This window comes from Homo sapiens, chromosome 8, assembly GCF_000001405.40.
Source record: "Homo sapiens chromosome 8, GRCh38.p14 Primary Assembly".
NCBI classification, from domain to species: domain Eukaryota; kingdom Metazoa; phylum Chordata; class Mammalia; order Primates; family Hominidae; genus Homo; species Homo sapiens.
In genome coordinates, this window is record NC_000008.11 from 75,019,558 (window position 1) to 75,037,420 (window position 17,863).

General features: G+C 34.2%; 1 protein-coding gene and 1 long non-coding RNA gene across 4 annotated transcripts in view; one reads left to right on the forward strand and one right to left on the reverse strand.

The window, feature by feature from the left end:
* CRISPLD1 (cysteine rich secretory protein LCCL domain containing 1) overlaps positions 1 to 15,001 on the forward strand; it is a 50,054-nt gene extending 35,053 nt beyond the window's left edge. For all 3 annotated transcript variants that reach the window (NM_031461.6, NM_001286778.2, NM_001286777.2), the window contains 5 exons: positions 313 to 356; positions 450 to 522; positions 5,989 to 6,064; positions 9,830 to 9,960; positions 12,634 to 15,001. In NM_031461.6, the coding sequence (NP_113649.1) occupies positions 313 to 356; positions 450 to 522; positions 5,989 to 6,064; positions 9,830 to 9,960; positions 12,634 to 12,685 (376 nt within the window). In that variant the 3' untranslated portion in view covers positions 12,686 to 15,001. The remainder of the gene's footprint in view (positions 1 to 312; positions 357 to 449; positions 523 to 5,988; positions 6,065 to 9,829; positions 9,961 to 12,633) is intronic.
* LOC124901964 (uncharacterized) lies at positions 6,039 to 9,900 on the reverse strand. The gene is made up of 2 exons (XR_007060966.1): positions 9,604 to 9,900; positions 6,039 to 7,378 (listed from the first exon to the last, which is right to left on the reverse strand). It is a non-coding gene; the product is annotated as an uncharacterized LOC124901964 (long non-coding RNA).
* Positions 15,002 to 17,863: the final 2,862 nt, after the last annotated feature.

Below are 17,863 nucleotides of genomic sequence, written 5' to 3' on the forward strand. Positions count from 1 at the left end.
GTGAGGGTTTTAATTTTGATAGGAACCAAATATATTTTTTATATATATATATAGTTCTATGCTATTATCTATATGTTTTTGAGATCAATAATGAAAAGAGATTACCGGAAGAATGGTGTTGATTTGGTTAATACCTGATGGTAATATGGATTTAGCATAAAACTGATGATGTATTCTTATATTGCTACTTGTCTATTTTAGTAAGTGTTTAAAAAGAAAATTAAGTGTTCATAGACTTGAAAGATACCAGAAATGATGCTGCTGCTGATGCCTATATGAAAATAATTAACATTTCTGTATTTTTACCTTCAGCAAATATCAGTCTGCTAATTCCTTCACAGTCTCTAAAGTAACAGGTTAGCACATTCTTCATCTTATTTTCTTAGTACTGTGTAGTATGTTACTGCTTTCAAAGGATTCACTCATTGTTTTGTGTTTTAATTCTTCAGTTCAGGCTGTGACTTGTGAAACAACTGTGGAACAGCTCTGTCCATTTCATAAGCCTGCTTCACATTGCCCAAGGTAAACCAGTGTACACATAGGGGGCTTTGGCCCTGTGATAACTGTTTTTGCCTGAAATTCTGATGTCTCTGGGATTCAAAAGTTGTATAATCTTGAACTTCTAAGCAGGAGGGAGCAATGAAACATCATAAACTACATGCACTCCAGGCAGGCCTAGTGTACTTTCTCAAAATGCAAAAGTATTCTCTGCTATTTCATAATGTCAGGGTTTATGCATGTAATCTGTATGTTCATCTGTGATACAAAGAGTGCCTTATTAGTCTGCTGTGGCTGCTGTAACAAAATAGCATAGACTGGGTGGTGTAAACATGAGGAATTTATTTCTCACAGTTCTGGAGGTTGAGAAGTTCAAGATCAAGGTGCTGGCTGATTCAGTTCCTGATGAGGGCTCTCTTCCTGGTCTACAGATGGCCACCTTCTCTGTGTCCTCACATGGTGGAGGGAGAAAGAGAGCTCACTCTCTTACATCCCTTCTTGTAAGGACACTAATCCTATTGGATGAGGACCCTACCCTTATGACCTCATTTAACATTAATTACCTTCATAAAGGCCCTGTCTCCAAGTTAGTCAAATTGGGGATTGAGACTTCAACATATGAACTTTGAAGGGACAAAATCATTCAGTTCATAACAATTTCTTACAACAGAAACTAAAGTGGCATAACTCATATTTTAACATCATTATCCAGTTTTTTAAATTAGATCAATCTGATTGCATTTGGTAAGTTAAAAAGCCCATCTTTACCTTTCTTTTATTTTTGTTTCTTAATATTCTCTTTTACAAGATTATAATGGAATTTATATACTATAAAATAATGAAAAAAGCTTTATTTATCTTGGCCAAGCTAAGATGAAAACTGTTAGAAGTATTATGGTTTAATCCATAATCAGTAGCTAGGAAAAATAAAGTATGTCTCCATATATCCAGTCTTAGTTCTACACACACTATTTCCATTAATGCAAATATCCACACTACTTTTAAAAACTAGTAATGAGATTTAAAGATATCATTGTAATTTGACAAAACATTTTAGTCTAAAAACTTAAGGAGCTTAATTTTTATGGAAAAGTTTATCTACTTTGGAAAAACATCATTACTTACCCTTTTGAAATGAAAGCAATGTTTCACTTAAAGAATGGGATTGGCTGTTCACAAGGTATATAACGGAATCTTTATAGCGGAAGACTGTGATCTTCATATAACAGAGTACTTCATTTTCTGTCAGTTTCTAAGTTACAGATGTGATATAAACAATAAATGTCCTCACATACAAATAGCCTGTTTCCTTTCAAATCATTTGTCTCTACTAATGCAAGAGTGCTGTTGTAATATTTTTGGTCAGCTAACTTGGTGCATGCTAATTGAGAATTTTAAAATTCTTCAGCTTGTGCGTTTGCTGAAATCAGCAGATTACCAAGTATGTAGGATAATTTGAGGACCTCTTACTGGGTGAAGTGCATCATATACTTTTTACCATTTGACCACCAATGAATTATATGCTGAATATTTTTGTGATAAAAATACAATCTCCTGTTACTAGAGCTTGACTAATTATCCTCTTATAAGGCTCACATATTTGATTAGATCATTGTTTGCTCTGTAGTCTTAGTCAATTTTGGAGAAATATTTTTTTCAGAATTCTCAAGACCCCTACACTTACAGATTGCAGTTTTATAGAAAAAAGTAAAGATGTATTGCTAGGTGAAGCTGGTAAATTTTAGCATCATAATATGTGAAAAAAACCCAGGAACTTTAGAATTTAAATTTATAAATATGTATTAAATACCTACTAAGTACGAATATTATGCCTAGCCTTATGTCAGCCATGTGACTAGGTTTATGAGGACCAAATAATAAGGAGGGTCTCTGTAGAGCATTCTAACATAAAGGCTCTCACTAGTAGATGCTCAATAAAGGGTAATTTTATAACTACAAAACAAACTATATCAATATTATTACAAAAGGGATAAATCAAGTAAAGCATTAATAAACAAGCTCCCTATTTCTTGGCTTGTTTCAGAAAGCAAAACATCGAAATAAGGAAAATGATATAAATTTTTAAAATTCATTTTAGCCTTTACTGTTACCAACATAATAAATCCATAGAAATGACAATTTATGCATAATATTGACCTTAAGTAGTCTGAAAAGCTTCTCCCTTTTTTTTTATTTCAGTGAAACAAAATTGTCATTTGTTTCTCCTGTGTAAAATTTGTAATAGTTTTGGCCAGGCGTGGTGGCTCACGCCTGTAATCCCAGCACTTTGGGAGGCTGAGGTGGGTGGATCACGAGGTCAGGAGATCGAGACCATCCTGGCTAACACGATGATACCCCATCTCTACTAAAAATACAAACAAAAATTAGCCGGGCGTGGGGGCGGGTGCCTGTAGTCCCAGCTACTCCAGAGGCTGAGCAGGAGAATGGCGTGAACCCGGGAGGCCGAGCTTGCAGTGAGCTGAGATTGCGCCACTGCACTCCAGCCTGGGCGAAAGAGCGAGACTCTGTCTCAGAAAAAAAAAAAAAAAAGAAAAAAAATTGTAATAGTTTCATAAACTGGGTTATAATGATATTATTTATATGACAGGTTATAACTTTTAGGGAACCATGTAGTTGGTATATTTCTTTTAGAATTTCATATGACTTAAGTAGGCTGAGGCATAGTCTATTCTGGAGAAAAAATGACAATAAATAAATTAATGAAATTAGCTCAAGAAGACCTTGAAGAAACAAGATTCCTGCAAGTCATGTCCTTGAAAGTTTCCATGTCTGGTAGAACAATTCAAAATAAACTATCTAACTATTATTTAGTAACCATTTGGTGGCTATGTAGTAATTATTACTTAGTGTCTTATAAAAATTATAAGAAATGTTATCCAGTTTTACATATACCTACAAACAATTAGATCTTTAAAATTTATTGAATGCTCAAGATGTAAAAGTAGATATTAAAGTATGTCAGCATTTTCATTCAAAGTTTACCGGCAAATTGTAGGTAAAAAAAAAAAAAAAAAAAAAGTTTACCGGACCAGTACCTACCTTCTCAGTAGTATGTAACAAGCTGTTAAAAACAGATTGGAATACAAACAAGCAAAAAACTTCCCCCAATCTTTGTTTTACCTGAACTCATCTAAGTAGAAACTAACTCAACTTGGACTACTGACTTTGGCATTCCACAAACCAGCAGCTGAATATGGGCAAGATAAAGTTTGCAGAGCATGCAGAGCAAGTGATTTTAACAGCCATAAGGATGACGGTGAATGCCTAGCAGTTCTCAAATACAGTAAGATCAGTTTCCAGTCAAAGGGGACACCCTTCTTCCTGCAGAAACCCCAAACAGCATCTTTTATAACAATCAAGCCTTTAATTCAAAGTTATAGAAACTCAGATGGATTTATTATATTTAAATGGTTCTGGTTTCCATGTTATGTGAAGTATATACACTCTAGAATATACAGTGTTATACAAATTTTAGAAATAAAAACTATAACTATTTCTTAGAAATGTTATATTCTAAGATCTTCCTATGTTAAGGAAGATCTGCTTCAATTGGCAAGGGTAGTTTCAACTGAAGTATATTTAGAATACTTTTAGGAAAATTGTTGATGCTATCATCCACTAATGATTATCATGTAGTTATGTTAACAGTCTCATTTACTACTTAAAATTGTGTGTTTTCCAGTTTTAGTTTGTGTTTCCTTTTAGTGATGAGTGCGTGTGTGTGTGTGTGTGTGTGAATGCAGACGAGCCACTTGATTAAAAGTAAAGTGCCATTTGACAGTTTCTTGAACTTTGAGAGTAGATTTTTTAAAATATCATGTGATTGATTAAATATTGATAATTGGATCCTACGTTTAAATAAAAAGCTTTTGGTCATATTGTATTAGAGCCTGAACAACAAAAAAAGTGTTTGGAAATGTCTTTGAAGTGAGCTAAGCCAACCAGATATCAGTAAGGCAGTAGGATTTCTGGAGGAAGTGCATTCCATGCAGAGAGGAAGATAAATGCAAAGGCTCTAAGGCAGAAGCCTATTGTGTGTGTTTGAGGAATAACCATTAGGCCCATGTGACTGGAGCAGGGTGAGAAAGTGGGAAAGGAGTAAGATATAAAGTTGGAAAGGCAGTGAGGATAGAAGATGCAGGGCTTATTGACCTTCCTGAGGCTCTTGTCATTTACTCTGAATGTGATGGAAGCCACTGGAATATTTGGAGCAGAGGAATGATGTGTTTGGACTTGTACATTTGTTGTTGTTGTTTTGTTTTGTTTTGAGATGGAGTCTTGCTGTGTTGCCCAGGCTGGAGTGCAGTGGCATGATCTCAGCTCACTGCAACCTCCGCCTCCCAGGTTCCAACAATTCTCCTCCATCAGCCTCCCAAGTAGTGGGATTACAGGCACCCAGGACCATGCCCGGCTAATTTTTGTATTTTTAGCAGAGACGGGGTTTCACCTTGTTGGCCAGGCTGGTCACAAACTCCTGACCTCAGGCGATCCACCCACCTCGGCCTCCCAGAGTGCTGGGATTACAGGCATGAGCCACTGCGCCTGGCTGGACTTGTACGTTTTAATATAAGTATGGAAAACAGATTGGAGAGGGCCAAATTGGAAGCAGGGAGACCATAGAAGAAGCATAGAAGAGCCTATTGCAGTAAGTTAGACAGTAGATGATAGAGCCCAGAGTTACCATGATTGAGGTGCTTGGGGATGCTCTGATCTTGGATATGTTTTCATGTACAGCCAATGGAAATTGCTGATGGGTTGAATGTAAGGTGTGAGATTAAGGGAGGGATTGAGGATAGAAAGGTTTCTGGCCTGAGCACTTGGAATCATGGAGGTGCCATTTATTGCAATGGGAAGCCTACGGAAAGAAACAGATTTGGGAACTAGAGAAGGAGATTAGGAATTTGGTTTCATACATGGTAAGTTTGAGATGTTTATTATAGCTAAGTGGAGATGTTGAATAAGCAGTAGGATATTCAAGTATGGAATTAAGAGATCTCCCAACTGGAAATGTAAATTTGGAAATTAGCCATTTAAAGATGATAATTAAAACTATGAAATTGGATGAGATTCCAAAGATGTGAATATAAAGAAGAGAATCTATGAGATGTATGAGGCAGACAATGATTCAGATTTTCCAAGTTATTGGTTTACTAAATTCTACAGATACATTGGGTACCAACTTCTCAGATACATTGAGATGCTTTCTGATGTTTCTTTTGGCTTCAAATCCCCACATTAGAAAGCTTCCTAACTAATTTTTTTTAAATGACATTTATGCCAAAAGATAGATAAACAGAAGCAATTGTGTCTACTGCTTGGGCTTGTACAATTGACCTATTTCAGGAGAAAAAATGAGTAGGGTTTAGAATGTTGAGCTTACTTTGTGTATGCATATCTGTGGTTTTACTAATAAGAAAGACTTAAGTAACCAGCTTACTTAATATATATATAATATATTATTTTTTTCAGAGTATACTGTCCTCGTAACTGTATGCAAGCAAATCCACATTATGCTCGTGTAATTGGAACTCGAGTTTATTCTGATGTAAGTATCCTAATTTATACAGCTGTCAACATTCATGTATATATATAAATGTATAGACACATTTAAATGTGTATATGTACATTTATATACAGAGCGAAGAAACAGACTTTGTTAATGTGTGTTCTCAGAAGAGTTAAACATCCATATCACTGAAAAATTAATATCCATATGTACAATAAGAGTGTATAATTATTTGACAAAATTTTTCTTCACTTTCTCCCCATATGTTTTATATAAGACACATAATGAAATAGTCTGTAGTTATTGTTGGGAAGGAAAATGTGTTTTGTTTTTCTTTTGATTCTTTAGTATTTGAAGTCTGAACTGGATAATTAAGAATTTGTCAAAAGTTGAAACAATATCTTCACTGCCAAACGGCCATTTAAAATGTAGCATAGAGTCATAGAGATGCTACATTGAAATATATGCAAAAGAGAACTAGTTGAGGGGATGTTGTAAGAGATGACTTTAGTGGGTTGGACAAGGAATGTGAGCTGTGATGGCCCAGGCTGGAGTTCAGTGGCATGATCATATCTCAGTTTAACCTCAAACTCGGGCTCAAGTGATCCTCCTGCCTCAGCCTCCCAAGTAACTAGAAGAACAAATACATGACACCATGCCTGGCTCTTTTTCTATTGTTGTAGAGATGGGGTCTCACTGTGTTGCCCAGGCTGGTGTGGCCTCAAGCAGTCCTCCTGCCTTGGCCTTCCAAGGTGCCAGGCCTGTTAAGTGCTTGTTGAGCCAGGTTTTTAGTGTTGGTTGCTAAAGAGGATCAGGGAACGTGTTCTAGTGGGATAAGTGACATTTACAAAGTAACGGAGTTAAGAGTCAATGAGCTGTACATCAGACTAGCAGATAGCTTTGTCTCTAAGCTGCTGAAAATCGGAACGAAAAGGGGCTTCAACCAAGTTAGTCTGAGAGAGAGAGGAATCCAGCTCACATCAGTGTGTAGACAAAGTCTGAAAGTGCATGCTGATGAGTTTACGTTTTATGAGGCAAACACTTAGAAACCATTACAGATTTCTAAGCCAGAGAGTTACAAATGCAAATTTAGGAAATGTCTTATGCACATATTCAATAGAATATTAAGGGAATTTGATCATGTAAAGAGGCCTGAATATGTACATTACCACCTATTTCTCTTGGTGAGCTTACTTACCAAGATTTTTTTCAGTTCAGCTTTACCTTTGCAGTTATTTTCCAATTCTGAGTCTCTCTCAAGCTCCAGATTTGCACTGGTCTTATGTGCCACTGAAAAGTCCTGCTGGTATCTTGAATGTACTAGTCTTCACATTTGTGCTTATATTCTTGCCTCTGTTGAAATACAGTATTTTTGCAAATTTTATGTCAAAACTGTGGTCATTTTTCAAAACCTAAATTATTGCCACTTTCTCTGTGAGGGTGCGTTGCTGGACCTTCCAACCCAAGTATGAAGTTGCCCTTATTTCAACCCCTATAACTTCATTTTTTCCTTTTGGCACTTAGCCTGTTGTATTGGGTATTATGATTATTACCGTATCTCTTTTATTAGTTTGTAAGTTTCTCAAGGGCAGCAGCTGGGTTATTCATTCATCATTTTGTGATCACTAATTTGATGTCTGCCAAGCTGTGAACAAGACAGGCATGTTCTGCCTGAACAGGGCTTAGAGCACATAGCTACGTCAGGTATTAACCAAGTACCTTGCACATAAGTATTTGTTGAAACAAGTAGATTAATAAATATATAGGAATATGCATATCTGAACTCAACAGAGATTTCCAAAGAAATCATACTTTTCAGATTTTCCCTTTAAGCAGGAGAACTTTTAATTTTAGTCACGTCTAGTGAAAGTCTTTCAAAATATCCTGTATACTTCTATGTCTTTAAAGTCATCTATTTGCTAGAGTTAAGGTTTTGTTGGAACTCATATCTTGAGATCATTTTATCTTTCTACCCTCAGTGAAATGGCTGCATAATATGTGTCTTATATAGGTCCTTTGAAGAGTAAGTTGGAAATATAAAGATTACTGTCAAATAGCAAGTATGAAATCAGAGATCCAATCGTTAATAGCCAGTCTTCCTGGCCCTACAAAATACATTATCTCTCCAAATAAAGGATGGAAATGTGAGAATCAATCAGCCAGACTCCCTCCCTCCTTCCCTTCTCTTTCTTTCCTTCCATTTATAGAGCTAGACCTTGTACATTCTGTTTCTTTGAACTTTTAGTTTATTATATATTTCTGCATTCATTAAAAAAATTCTATTTTTACAGATAATTCTTTTCATCATATATTAGTTTTTAAAAAGTCTGAGTATGAAAAGAAAATGTCTTCTGACCTTTGAACTCAAATAGGGATGCCTGCTGAATCTATAATTGCAGGCAATACAATAGTCTCAAAACATATTAAATACTTGGACTTAGTAAATGTTATATCTAAGCACTTTTGTTGCCTTGGGAAAAATGCTGATTAATATCCTTTTAACAGAACAAATACTGAAATGTGCACGGAATTATTTTTAATTCCATCTGTTAAGAACCATATTGGAGGCAAATATAATTCAATGGGACTTTAAGTGTTGAAGAAAATGTCTTTGAGTAAGGATGCAGGTTTTAGATACATGGTATTTTGCGATACAGCAAAAGCATGGAAAGGATTAAACAGCTTGGCATTCAGACTCTGATCTAGTAAATACTGACTGATGCTCTAGAGTTCACAACACAGTAATAATGCAAGGTCATGTAAGATATACATGCTTATTTTAAAAAGCATATTAAATCACTCACATGTGCATAGAGATAAGAAAAGAACACACCACTGGGATCAGAAAAGACCCATGGGCATTTGACATGGATTGCTTTATACTGAAACAGTTCAAATATTGTCTTTGGTTGGATTTCCTTGGATTGTACTTAGTTGTTGACAAATTTTGGTAAAACATTTGGACTAAAGCAAATGTTAAAATCTTGAGAAGATTTTAATGGGCCAAAAGAAATGATCTGACTTTTAGAATTCAGTAGTTTTAAAAATTCAAAAGTATTGGACCTGAAACAACAATTTTCTTCTCCATAGAAATCCCATTCAATTCAGATTATATGACTAGTGCAATGTAATCATAGGACTTTCCTAGTATTTCATGTCAGACCATTCAAACTAAGTTGACAGGCATTACAAATCTAGGTAGAAGCTATGATGATTCTTCATTTTTTTCTTTTTAGGGTTATTCTTTTAGGCAAAGTTTCTCTGTGTAGATTATATTATTTACTAAGAAAAAAACTGCCCCATTTCTTGTATTTTGGAAGAGGGGCCATAGTCATATGCAGAACTATGGTGGAGTTTGTATTAGGCAAAAGTGAACATACATGAGGGATGAATAATCTAACCTATGAACATTTGGTCAGAGTGAGCCCAGTATAGAACAAAGGCTAACATTTAAGAATGACAAACAGGACCTAGAAGAGATAAAAGAAGCTAATTTGCTTTTTATTGCTTTGATACTCTAAAGCCTACTGTTTGGACAGAACAGGTATTTGCTAGATTAGATTGGGGAGGGGTCTTACCGTTGCAGTCACCTTTAAGGTTGGCCTTCAGACTTGCTCCAAATTGGCTTTGACTTTGTGACGTTTCAAACACTCTTTTATGCACAAAACCTCATCCTGTAGCTGCTCACTGGCTATCCATGACATCAGGATGTCAGCGACTTCAGTCTATTAATAATAGAAGAATAGGCTGGACAAGTCCAGCAGGAATTTCCAATAATGGCAGTTTGTTTCTTTACCTTCTCAGCTGTCCAGTATCTGCAGAGCAGCAGTACATGCTGGAGTGGTTCGAAATCACGGTGGTTATGTTGATGTAATGCCTGTGGACAAAAGAAAGACCTACATTGCTTCTTTTCAGAATGGAATCTTCTCAGAAAGGTAAAAACAAAACATATGTATGTATACTTTTAAATACCATCTATCACTGTATTCATGATTGCTTTACAGTTGACCCACTTGAATATTTTTAATTTTTTTCAAAGTTAAGTGGCAGAGCCAGTGTGTTCCTTTGCACACTTGTGTACCAGTCAGCCTTCCAGGGATGGGAGAAGCTGTAGTACCAGAGGTGCCTGTCTCCTGCAGGCTTATAAAAATCAACATGAAAATCGGATTACAAGTCAGAACTACTCTTTTGTTAATTAGTCTTATAATTAGGAACTTTCTTTCATCCTCTTTTGGATTTTCTAGATTAGTTTTATATTTAATTCTTTCTAGGTGAGCAAGGCACAGAATATTTCTCTAATCCAGTTATCTGATAAAGTATTTGACAAAAACAATGTCTGATTTTCCCTAGAACCAAATTCTCTTATTGATTTGAAGTTGGATGCCTAGTGTGATATAAATGAACTCTTTCAGGTCATTTTTCATATTATTTAACCCACCCACTAGTGTCATATATTTTGGTGATTTGAGAAAATTCATGTAACTCACTTTATCAGGTATCAATAAATATTAAAATAAATGAAGCAATGGTGATTTTTAAAATCATTATTACTTATAAAAGTAATATTAAAAGTCCTATTTATTTGTATATAGAAAAATCCCTAACTTTTAGATATTTCCTGGATTCTTCAAAATTGCTAATGGAGAACACACACATGTACACCAAAGGATGTGTCATACGGGGTATCTAGATTACCTTCAACATAACCATCTGGGTGTCATCCTCACAAAAATACAAATCTGCATTATCTGTTTTCATATTAGACTATATCAAGAGGTAAGTGTTGAGAAAGTGACATTTCTACAACCTGCTCATGGCCTCCTTAAACAGAATAATATATAAAATGGATCTTTGAGTTATAAAATTGGATATGCAATTTTATAAGCTAAACTGAGTGATATGGTTTTATGTATGCCTCGTAATTCTTAGATTTATTTTAAAACTATAAAACGATAGGTGATATCCTAATAAAACAGTATAATAATTATTTTTGAGTACCTACTATGAATATTCCAGATGTTAGATGCTCCTGAGCACTCTAAGTATGTTAGCTCAGCTTCGACAGCCCTGAAATGTCAGGCCTATACCCGGAGATATATGTGTGTGTGTGTGTGTGTGTGTGTGTATATGTATGTGTGTGTGTCTGTGTATATATGTATGAGTGTGTGTATATATGTGTGTATATGTATATGTGTGTGACTGTATATATGTGTGAGTATGCATATGTGTATGTGTATGTATATATGTGTTTCTGTGTATATATGTGAATGTATATATACACACACATATAGATACGTATATACACTTCTATATACACATATACATACATATATATACACATATACATATATATATGTTAACTGAGACTCTGAGGGGTTAAATGATGTGCTCAAGTTCATATAACTTGTAAATCTCAAAGCTCAGATTCAGTCTGTAGGCTCAGAGATATGTGTTATTCCAGTATTTAACTGTGTACAAAAAGGAAACACACCAAACACATTCATTTCCTAAGGCACTCAGTCAGTTTGTTTCTCATAAATAAAATGGCTTTGGATTGGCCATCTACTTGCATGAAAAACCTGGCATACATGCATGCACATGTGTGTATATGTTGTGTGTGCGCACTTGTGATACCCTTATTTTTGCTCACTCAAATTCTCTCCCTTTTTTCTTGTATGAATAAATATATAAAACATAGTTCACTTTGTCTCTTTCTTAGTATTTATTTTATTGATCTCCAAAAGTCTTTTGTAATTATTAAGAAAATAAAACTTTATGTAAAAGCTTCAAAAGCTTACAGTTGATTTGAATAAATAATGATTAATGGTACTACCAATCTGTTTTAACTTTTAGACATTTAAACAAAACATACCTTGATTTACGTTGCTAAATAAATATAAACAATTTAATAAAGAGTAAAATTTATGAGTCTGCATTACTTTTAACTTCTATTTAAAAGTACTTTCAAAATGAGATTGAATGCTCTGTGTGTGTGTGTGTGTGTGTGTGTGTGTATTTTTTCATTTCAGTGAAGATATTCTTAGGTCTTTCAGATTTGACCATTAAATATCCTTACTAACATTTTCCTTGAAATTATAGATGTTAAGAGTATTAATCTGTATGATAGCAATGTAATTTAAATTTTGTCAGACTTGGGCAATGATAATAAGCTAGCGCTCTAGAGTATTGCCTAAGTATCAGCTATCTTTTTAGCTTGTAACCGTGCATATCAGTTGTAAATCTGAGTCTCAGTATTCCCCATTAAAATTGAATAACAGCTGCTGAACTCTGCTGTATTAGAATGAAAGGAGGTAATATAGGAAAACATGATCTAGAATCTGTGAAGTTCTGTGGAGACTACTATTATTACCATTACACATCTTAAATGTTATTAGTAAACTTGCAGCCCAGCATAGAACCAAGAGTTAAGAGTTATGTCATCCTCATTCGAGCTTTCCAATAACTATAAATTATAGTAGCCTAAGAAAGTTGACCATCTGGATTCATAGAGCTGCTTTCTTGACTGTCATAAGAAAGCATGATTTGTAAGAAGGATTATGTATAGAGATGACATCAATATACTTTTCATATATTTTTTTTTTTTGCAGTTTACAGAATCCTCCAGGAGGAAAGGCATTCAGAGTGTTTGCTGTTGTGTGAAACTGAATACTTGGAAGAGGACCATAAAGACTATTCCAAATGCAATATTTCTGAATTTTGTATAAAACTGTAACATTACTGTACAGAGTACATCAACTATTTTCAGCCCAAAAAGGTGCCAAATGCATATAAATCTTGATAAACAAAGTCTATAAAATAAAACATGGGACATTAGCTTTGGGAAAAGTAATGAAAATATAATGGTTTTAGAAATCCTGTGTTAAATATTGCTATATTTTCTTAGCAGTTATTTCTACAGTTAATTACATAGTCATGATTGTTCTACGTTTCATATATTATATGGTGCTTTGTATATGCCACTAATAAAATGAATCTAAACATTGAATGTGAATGGCCCTCAGAAAATCATCTAGTGCATTTAAAAATAATCGACTCTAAAACTGAAAGAAACCTTATCACATTTTCCCCAGTTCAATGCTATGCCATTACCAACTCCAAATAATCTCAAATAATTTTCCACTTAATAACTGTAAAGTTTTTTTCTGTTAATTTAGGCATATAGAATATTAAATTCTGATATTGCACTTCTTATTTTATATAAAATAATCCTTTAATATCCAAATGAATCTGTTAAAATGTTTGATTCCTTGGGAATGGCCTTAAAAATAAATGTAATAAAGTCAGAGTGGTGGTATGAAAACATTCCTAGTGATCATGTAGTAAATGTAGGGTTAAGCATGGACAGCCAGAGCTTTCTATGTACTGTTAAAATTGAGGTCACATATTTTCTTTTGTATCCTGGCAAATACTCCTGCAGGCCAGGAAGTATAATAGCAAAAAGTTGAACAAAGATGAACTAATGTATTACATTACCATTGCCACTGATTTTTTTTTAAATGGTAAATGACCTTGTATATAAATATTGCCATATCATGGTACCTATAATGGTGATATATTTGTTTCTATGAAAAATGTATTGTGCTTTGATACTAAAAATCTGTAAAATGTTAGTTTTGGTAATTTTTTTTCTGCTGGTGGATTTACATATTAAATTTTTTCTGCTGGTGGATAAACATTAAAATTAATCATGTTTCAAAGTTTTATTTTCAGTTCCTTTTGCATGCCTATTTTGATTTAGAAATCACTTTAAGATAAATGAACAAAATTATTGTAAGTCTTCTAAACTTGGTTTATTGACGTTAGTATAAATAACATACAATACCAGATGTCTACAAAATCGACCTGATTATTTAGGTATTTGTATGTGAAAGAGAAACACATATTTAGAAACACAGCAAGGGAGATTTTGAATAAAGAGAGAGATGAATTTATAAAGTAGGAAAAAAAGAATCTGAAAGATACAAAGTGATTATAAAAGAATTGACAGGACAATAAATACTTCAAATACTTTTAGGAAGTAAATGAGTAGGAGTTTAGGAGGGATAAACGAGATAAATTCCATGCAATGATCAAGGAAAGCAAGAGAGCAGATAATACAAAAGAAAAAGAAGAAGGTTCACATAAATAGCTTCTGGAGTGCAAATTATAAAGACATCAACATTTTTGATCATATAATAAGTACTGGCTTACAGCTAAGTGGTTCCAAATACTGGTAATTAAAACAATGATGTATACGTTAAAGATTGCAAAACTTAAAAGCAGATTTTTATGGGAACTTTTTTCGAAAGGATACATGACCACCTTCTTAAATAGTATGACTTTACATAGACTCTTTTTCTGGTCCTTACTGCTCCTCCCACAACAGGGAAGCCCGATCAGTTCTGTCAGTATAAGGTTTTCTTCTATTTGCCCTTAGTTTAGATCTCCATCATCAATTCCACTTACTATTGTAATACCTTCAGCTGGAGCCTGTGTCTTTCTCCATTCCTTTTTAATACATTCGTATTTCCCAGCCCCAGAACCCTTGAAATTAACTCTTCCATGAGTTTTCATTGCTGAAGAAAAACCAAACATTCTTGTAAAAACATTTAAGAACTTCCATAGTCTTGTTCATATTGTTTACCTATCTTCTACACAAGGCGTGTCCTTGGGTAAGTTATTTAACTTCAATTTACCTTACCTGTAAAATGGAACAAATAATATCTCCTTAAGATTGCTCTACGAATTAATTGACACATTATGTGTGATGTACTTAAAGGAATAATAAATGCATAATATGAGGTCAGTGGACGCCATTTTCTGTTATAATCATTTTTGTTATCTAATTTGGGGAAACTATTCATCTGTCATATACTATTGATCCTTTGGCACTTAAATAAATGTGAAATCCTCCAGGAATTTTCCTGTGATTCTCCTTGTAAGAATTAAATGCTCTCTAATATGATATCCCTTTAATTTGACCATTGTAATTATTTAATTTGTTTTATTATATTCTTTAAAAGATAAGCTCTTTGAGAATGGTAATACTCTTACTCATCTCTCTACCCAAGAGCACAATTACCTCTGAGTTTTACTTCCTTGGACTCTACAAATGGTATATCAGTATTGTTGAGTGAGCATTCCAACAATTCCTAATTTTATTTTTGATGAAAATGAATATTTTTTCCACATTATAGTGTGAGGTCAACACAAAGTGCTATAGCTAGTGAAAATAGTTTATTGATAGACGTGGATTTAAAACAGATCAATGCTTGTAGAATAGTATTAATGTCATTATTTTAGCATTTAAAGTTTACCAGACCATGTGTTACTTTAATACTTTTCATATATCAAAAAATAATTTTGTATTTTAAGCATAGTATTATGAAAATAAATTACTCTCCTAACCTTAGATAATTTGCATATTACAGGGTCCACTTTTCAATACTGTCCTCTAAAATCTTGACTGTTCTCTTGCTGTTCTAAAATGTTTTTAAAGAAATGTAAACTCTTCTAAATAGCATGGTGAGTCAAGCAAAGAAACAGCTATCATTTTTGCAAACATACCAAATTTCAGATTTGGACTTTAAGCTAATTCATTGCACAAAGAATTACATTGTTGGAGTTGATTTTAAAAACTTATCTGAGGTGACATCTCTACCCTGGCACCATAATATTCAGGAGCTGAAGAAATAGTTTAGTGAAATAATCTGATCCTCTTTTATTAATTTGTTGTAATTAAGTCGAAATTATATCATCAGTTTGAGATTTAAAAAAGGCAGGCAAACTCTTTAGAACACTGCTCTTATACTTAATAATTAGATATTCTCTACTTCCTTTTATCCCCCAATCCTTATGTCACCTTGCACGGAATTATCAGAACGTGAAACAATGCTGGTAAGCAAACATCCTTGCACTAGACCATTAAGTTATGAAAACTAATTTTCCAATGATTACTAACAAATATTTTCTGATTAAAACCATAGTGAATTGGCAATTATGTTTACCACTATACTGATGAAGAAGATGAAAAGCAGAGGGCCTACAAATGACTGTATCTGATAAGCTCAGTTTAAAAAAAAAAAAAAACGTGTACAGAAGATGAAGTAGAAATTAGAGATACTTATTTAAAAGGCATGAACTGATTGCAAATATCATTAGGGGCTGGATGTGGTGGCTTAAGCCTGTGGTCCCAGCACTTTGTGGGGCCGAGGTGAGCAGATCAGTTGAGCCCAGGAGTTTGAGACCAGTCTGTGCATGATGAAACCCCATCTCTACATAAATTAGCCAGGTGTGGCGGCGCCTGCCTCTAGTCCCAGCTACTTGGGAGGCTGAGATGGGAGGACCACCTGAGCCCAGGAAGTTGAGGCTACAGTGAGCCGTGATTGCACCACTGCACTCCAGCCTGGGCAACAGAGCAAGACCTGGTCTCAAAAAAAAAAAAATTAATTAGAAATGCTTTTAAAAAGCCTAGCCTGATTGAGTCCTTATGCTAAGAGAGATAAGAATTTTTTACAAAATGATATGAGAGCAGCATGATTAGGTACAATATAACAAAAAACAAATAGCCCCTTCTGAAGCTTTCTGCTTTCATTCATGCAAAAATTACTGAGTTCCTACAATCTGCTATAGATTTGTGCTGATCACTGTAGATATGTTTATAAACAAAAATGCCCTCAGGAAATTAGATTCTTGTGAGGAACACATACTAATTAGATAATCACATGAATAAATATACGAAACCATGGAGATTATAGAACTTTGTTACTACAAAGAAAATATTTATGGTACCATGGCAGTATTGAAAAGTAGGACTTAACCTTGCGGGAAGAGTAAAGATGACTTTCCTGAGGAACTGACATAAAGTTTAGAAGAACTTAAGGATGAGTAGAAGTAACTTGGAAGGGGAATAATTTCTTACATAAATAAACACAATGCAAAATACCTTATGGCAGGAATAGTCTAGAAACAACAGCAACAAAAAGCTGAAGGCATGCTGTACGTGAGTCTGGACACGTAAGCGGGGGAGCAGAGAAAGGTTGAAAGAATCTCTTTAGGGTTAAAATGCACTGTTGGTGCTCTAACAGATGCCCAACATGAATAACACTATGACATGACACATAGTAGTATACTCAAAAGCCACTCAGGAATTCAGAGTTTGAGCACAGGAGCAAAGTATGAGATACATTCTGTATTAATAACAAACTTAGAGTTTTATAGCCCTTTACAATAAGGTTATTTAATACTCCTGGGATCTAGAGTTTGATTCTTACATGATTAATATGTCTATAAGCAATGGATTGAAGATGATTGAGAGCAGGAAGAAGGATGACGTGTATTGAGAACCAACAATATTTTAGAAACATTGCTATACATTTAATGTATTTGGTTCTCACAACAAACTGTGAGACAATATTATTTTCCCATTCTTATGTCTCAGAATGTAGATTCTAAAAGGTTAAGCAACACTGTCTAGGGCCTTGAGTTTGGGAAATGTGATTCATGTCTCCATCTCTCTAAATCTAAAGCCCATCTCTTGCTACTGGATCACTTCTGCTGGACATTTCCATGGGGACAGGGAATAATTTCACTAGCTCTCCTTACATCAGGTTTAGAAATACTCTTAAACAGAATTCTGTAATCTTTGAATATGCCATACATTTGTTAGATGTAGAAAGATCTGTAGAAGAGGAGTAGAGATTTAGCTTTCTTTAAAAGTAGACTATAAAAAATTTTAAAAAGAATATTGATTCAGGGAACACCAGGAAAGGATGAGGTTTGTGTTCCATAGATTTTGAATTAGTAAACTACTTTTTCAAGAAAATAGACTGAATTACT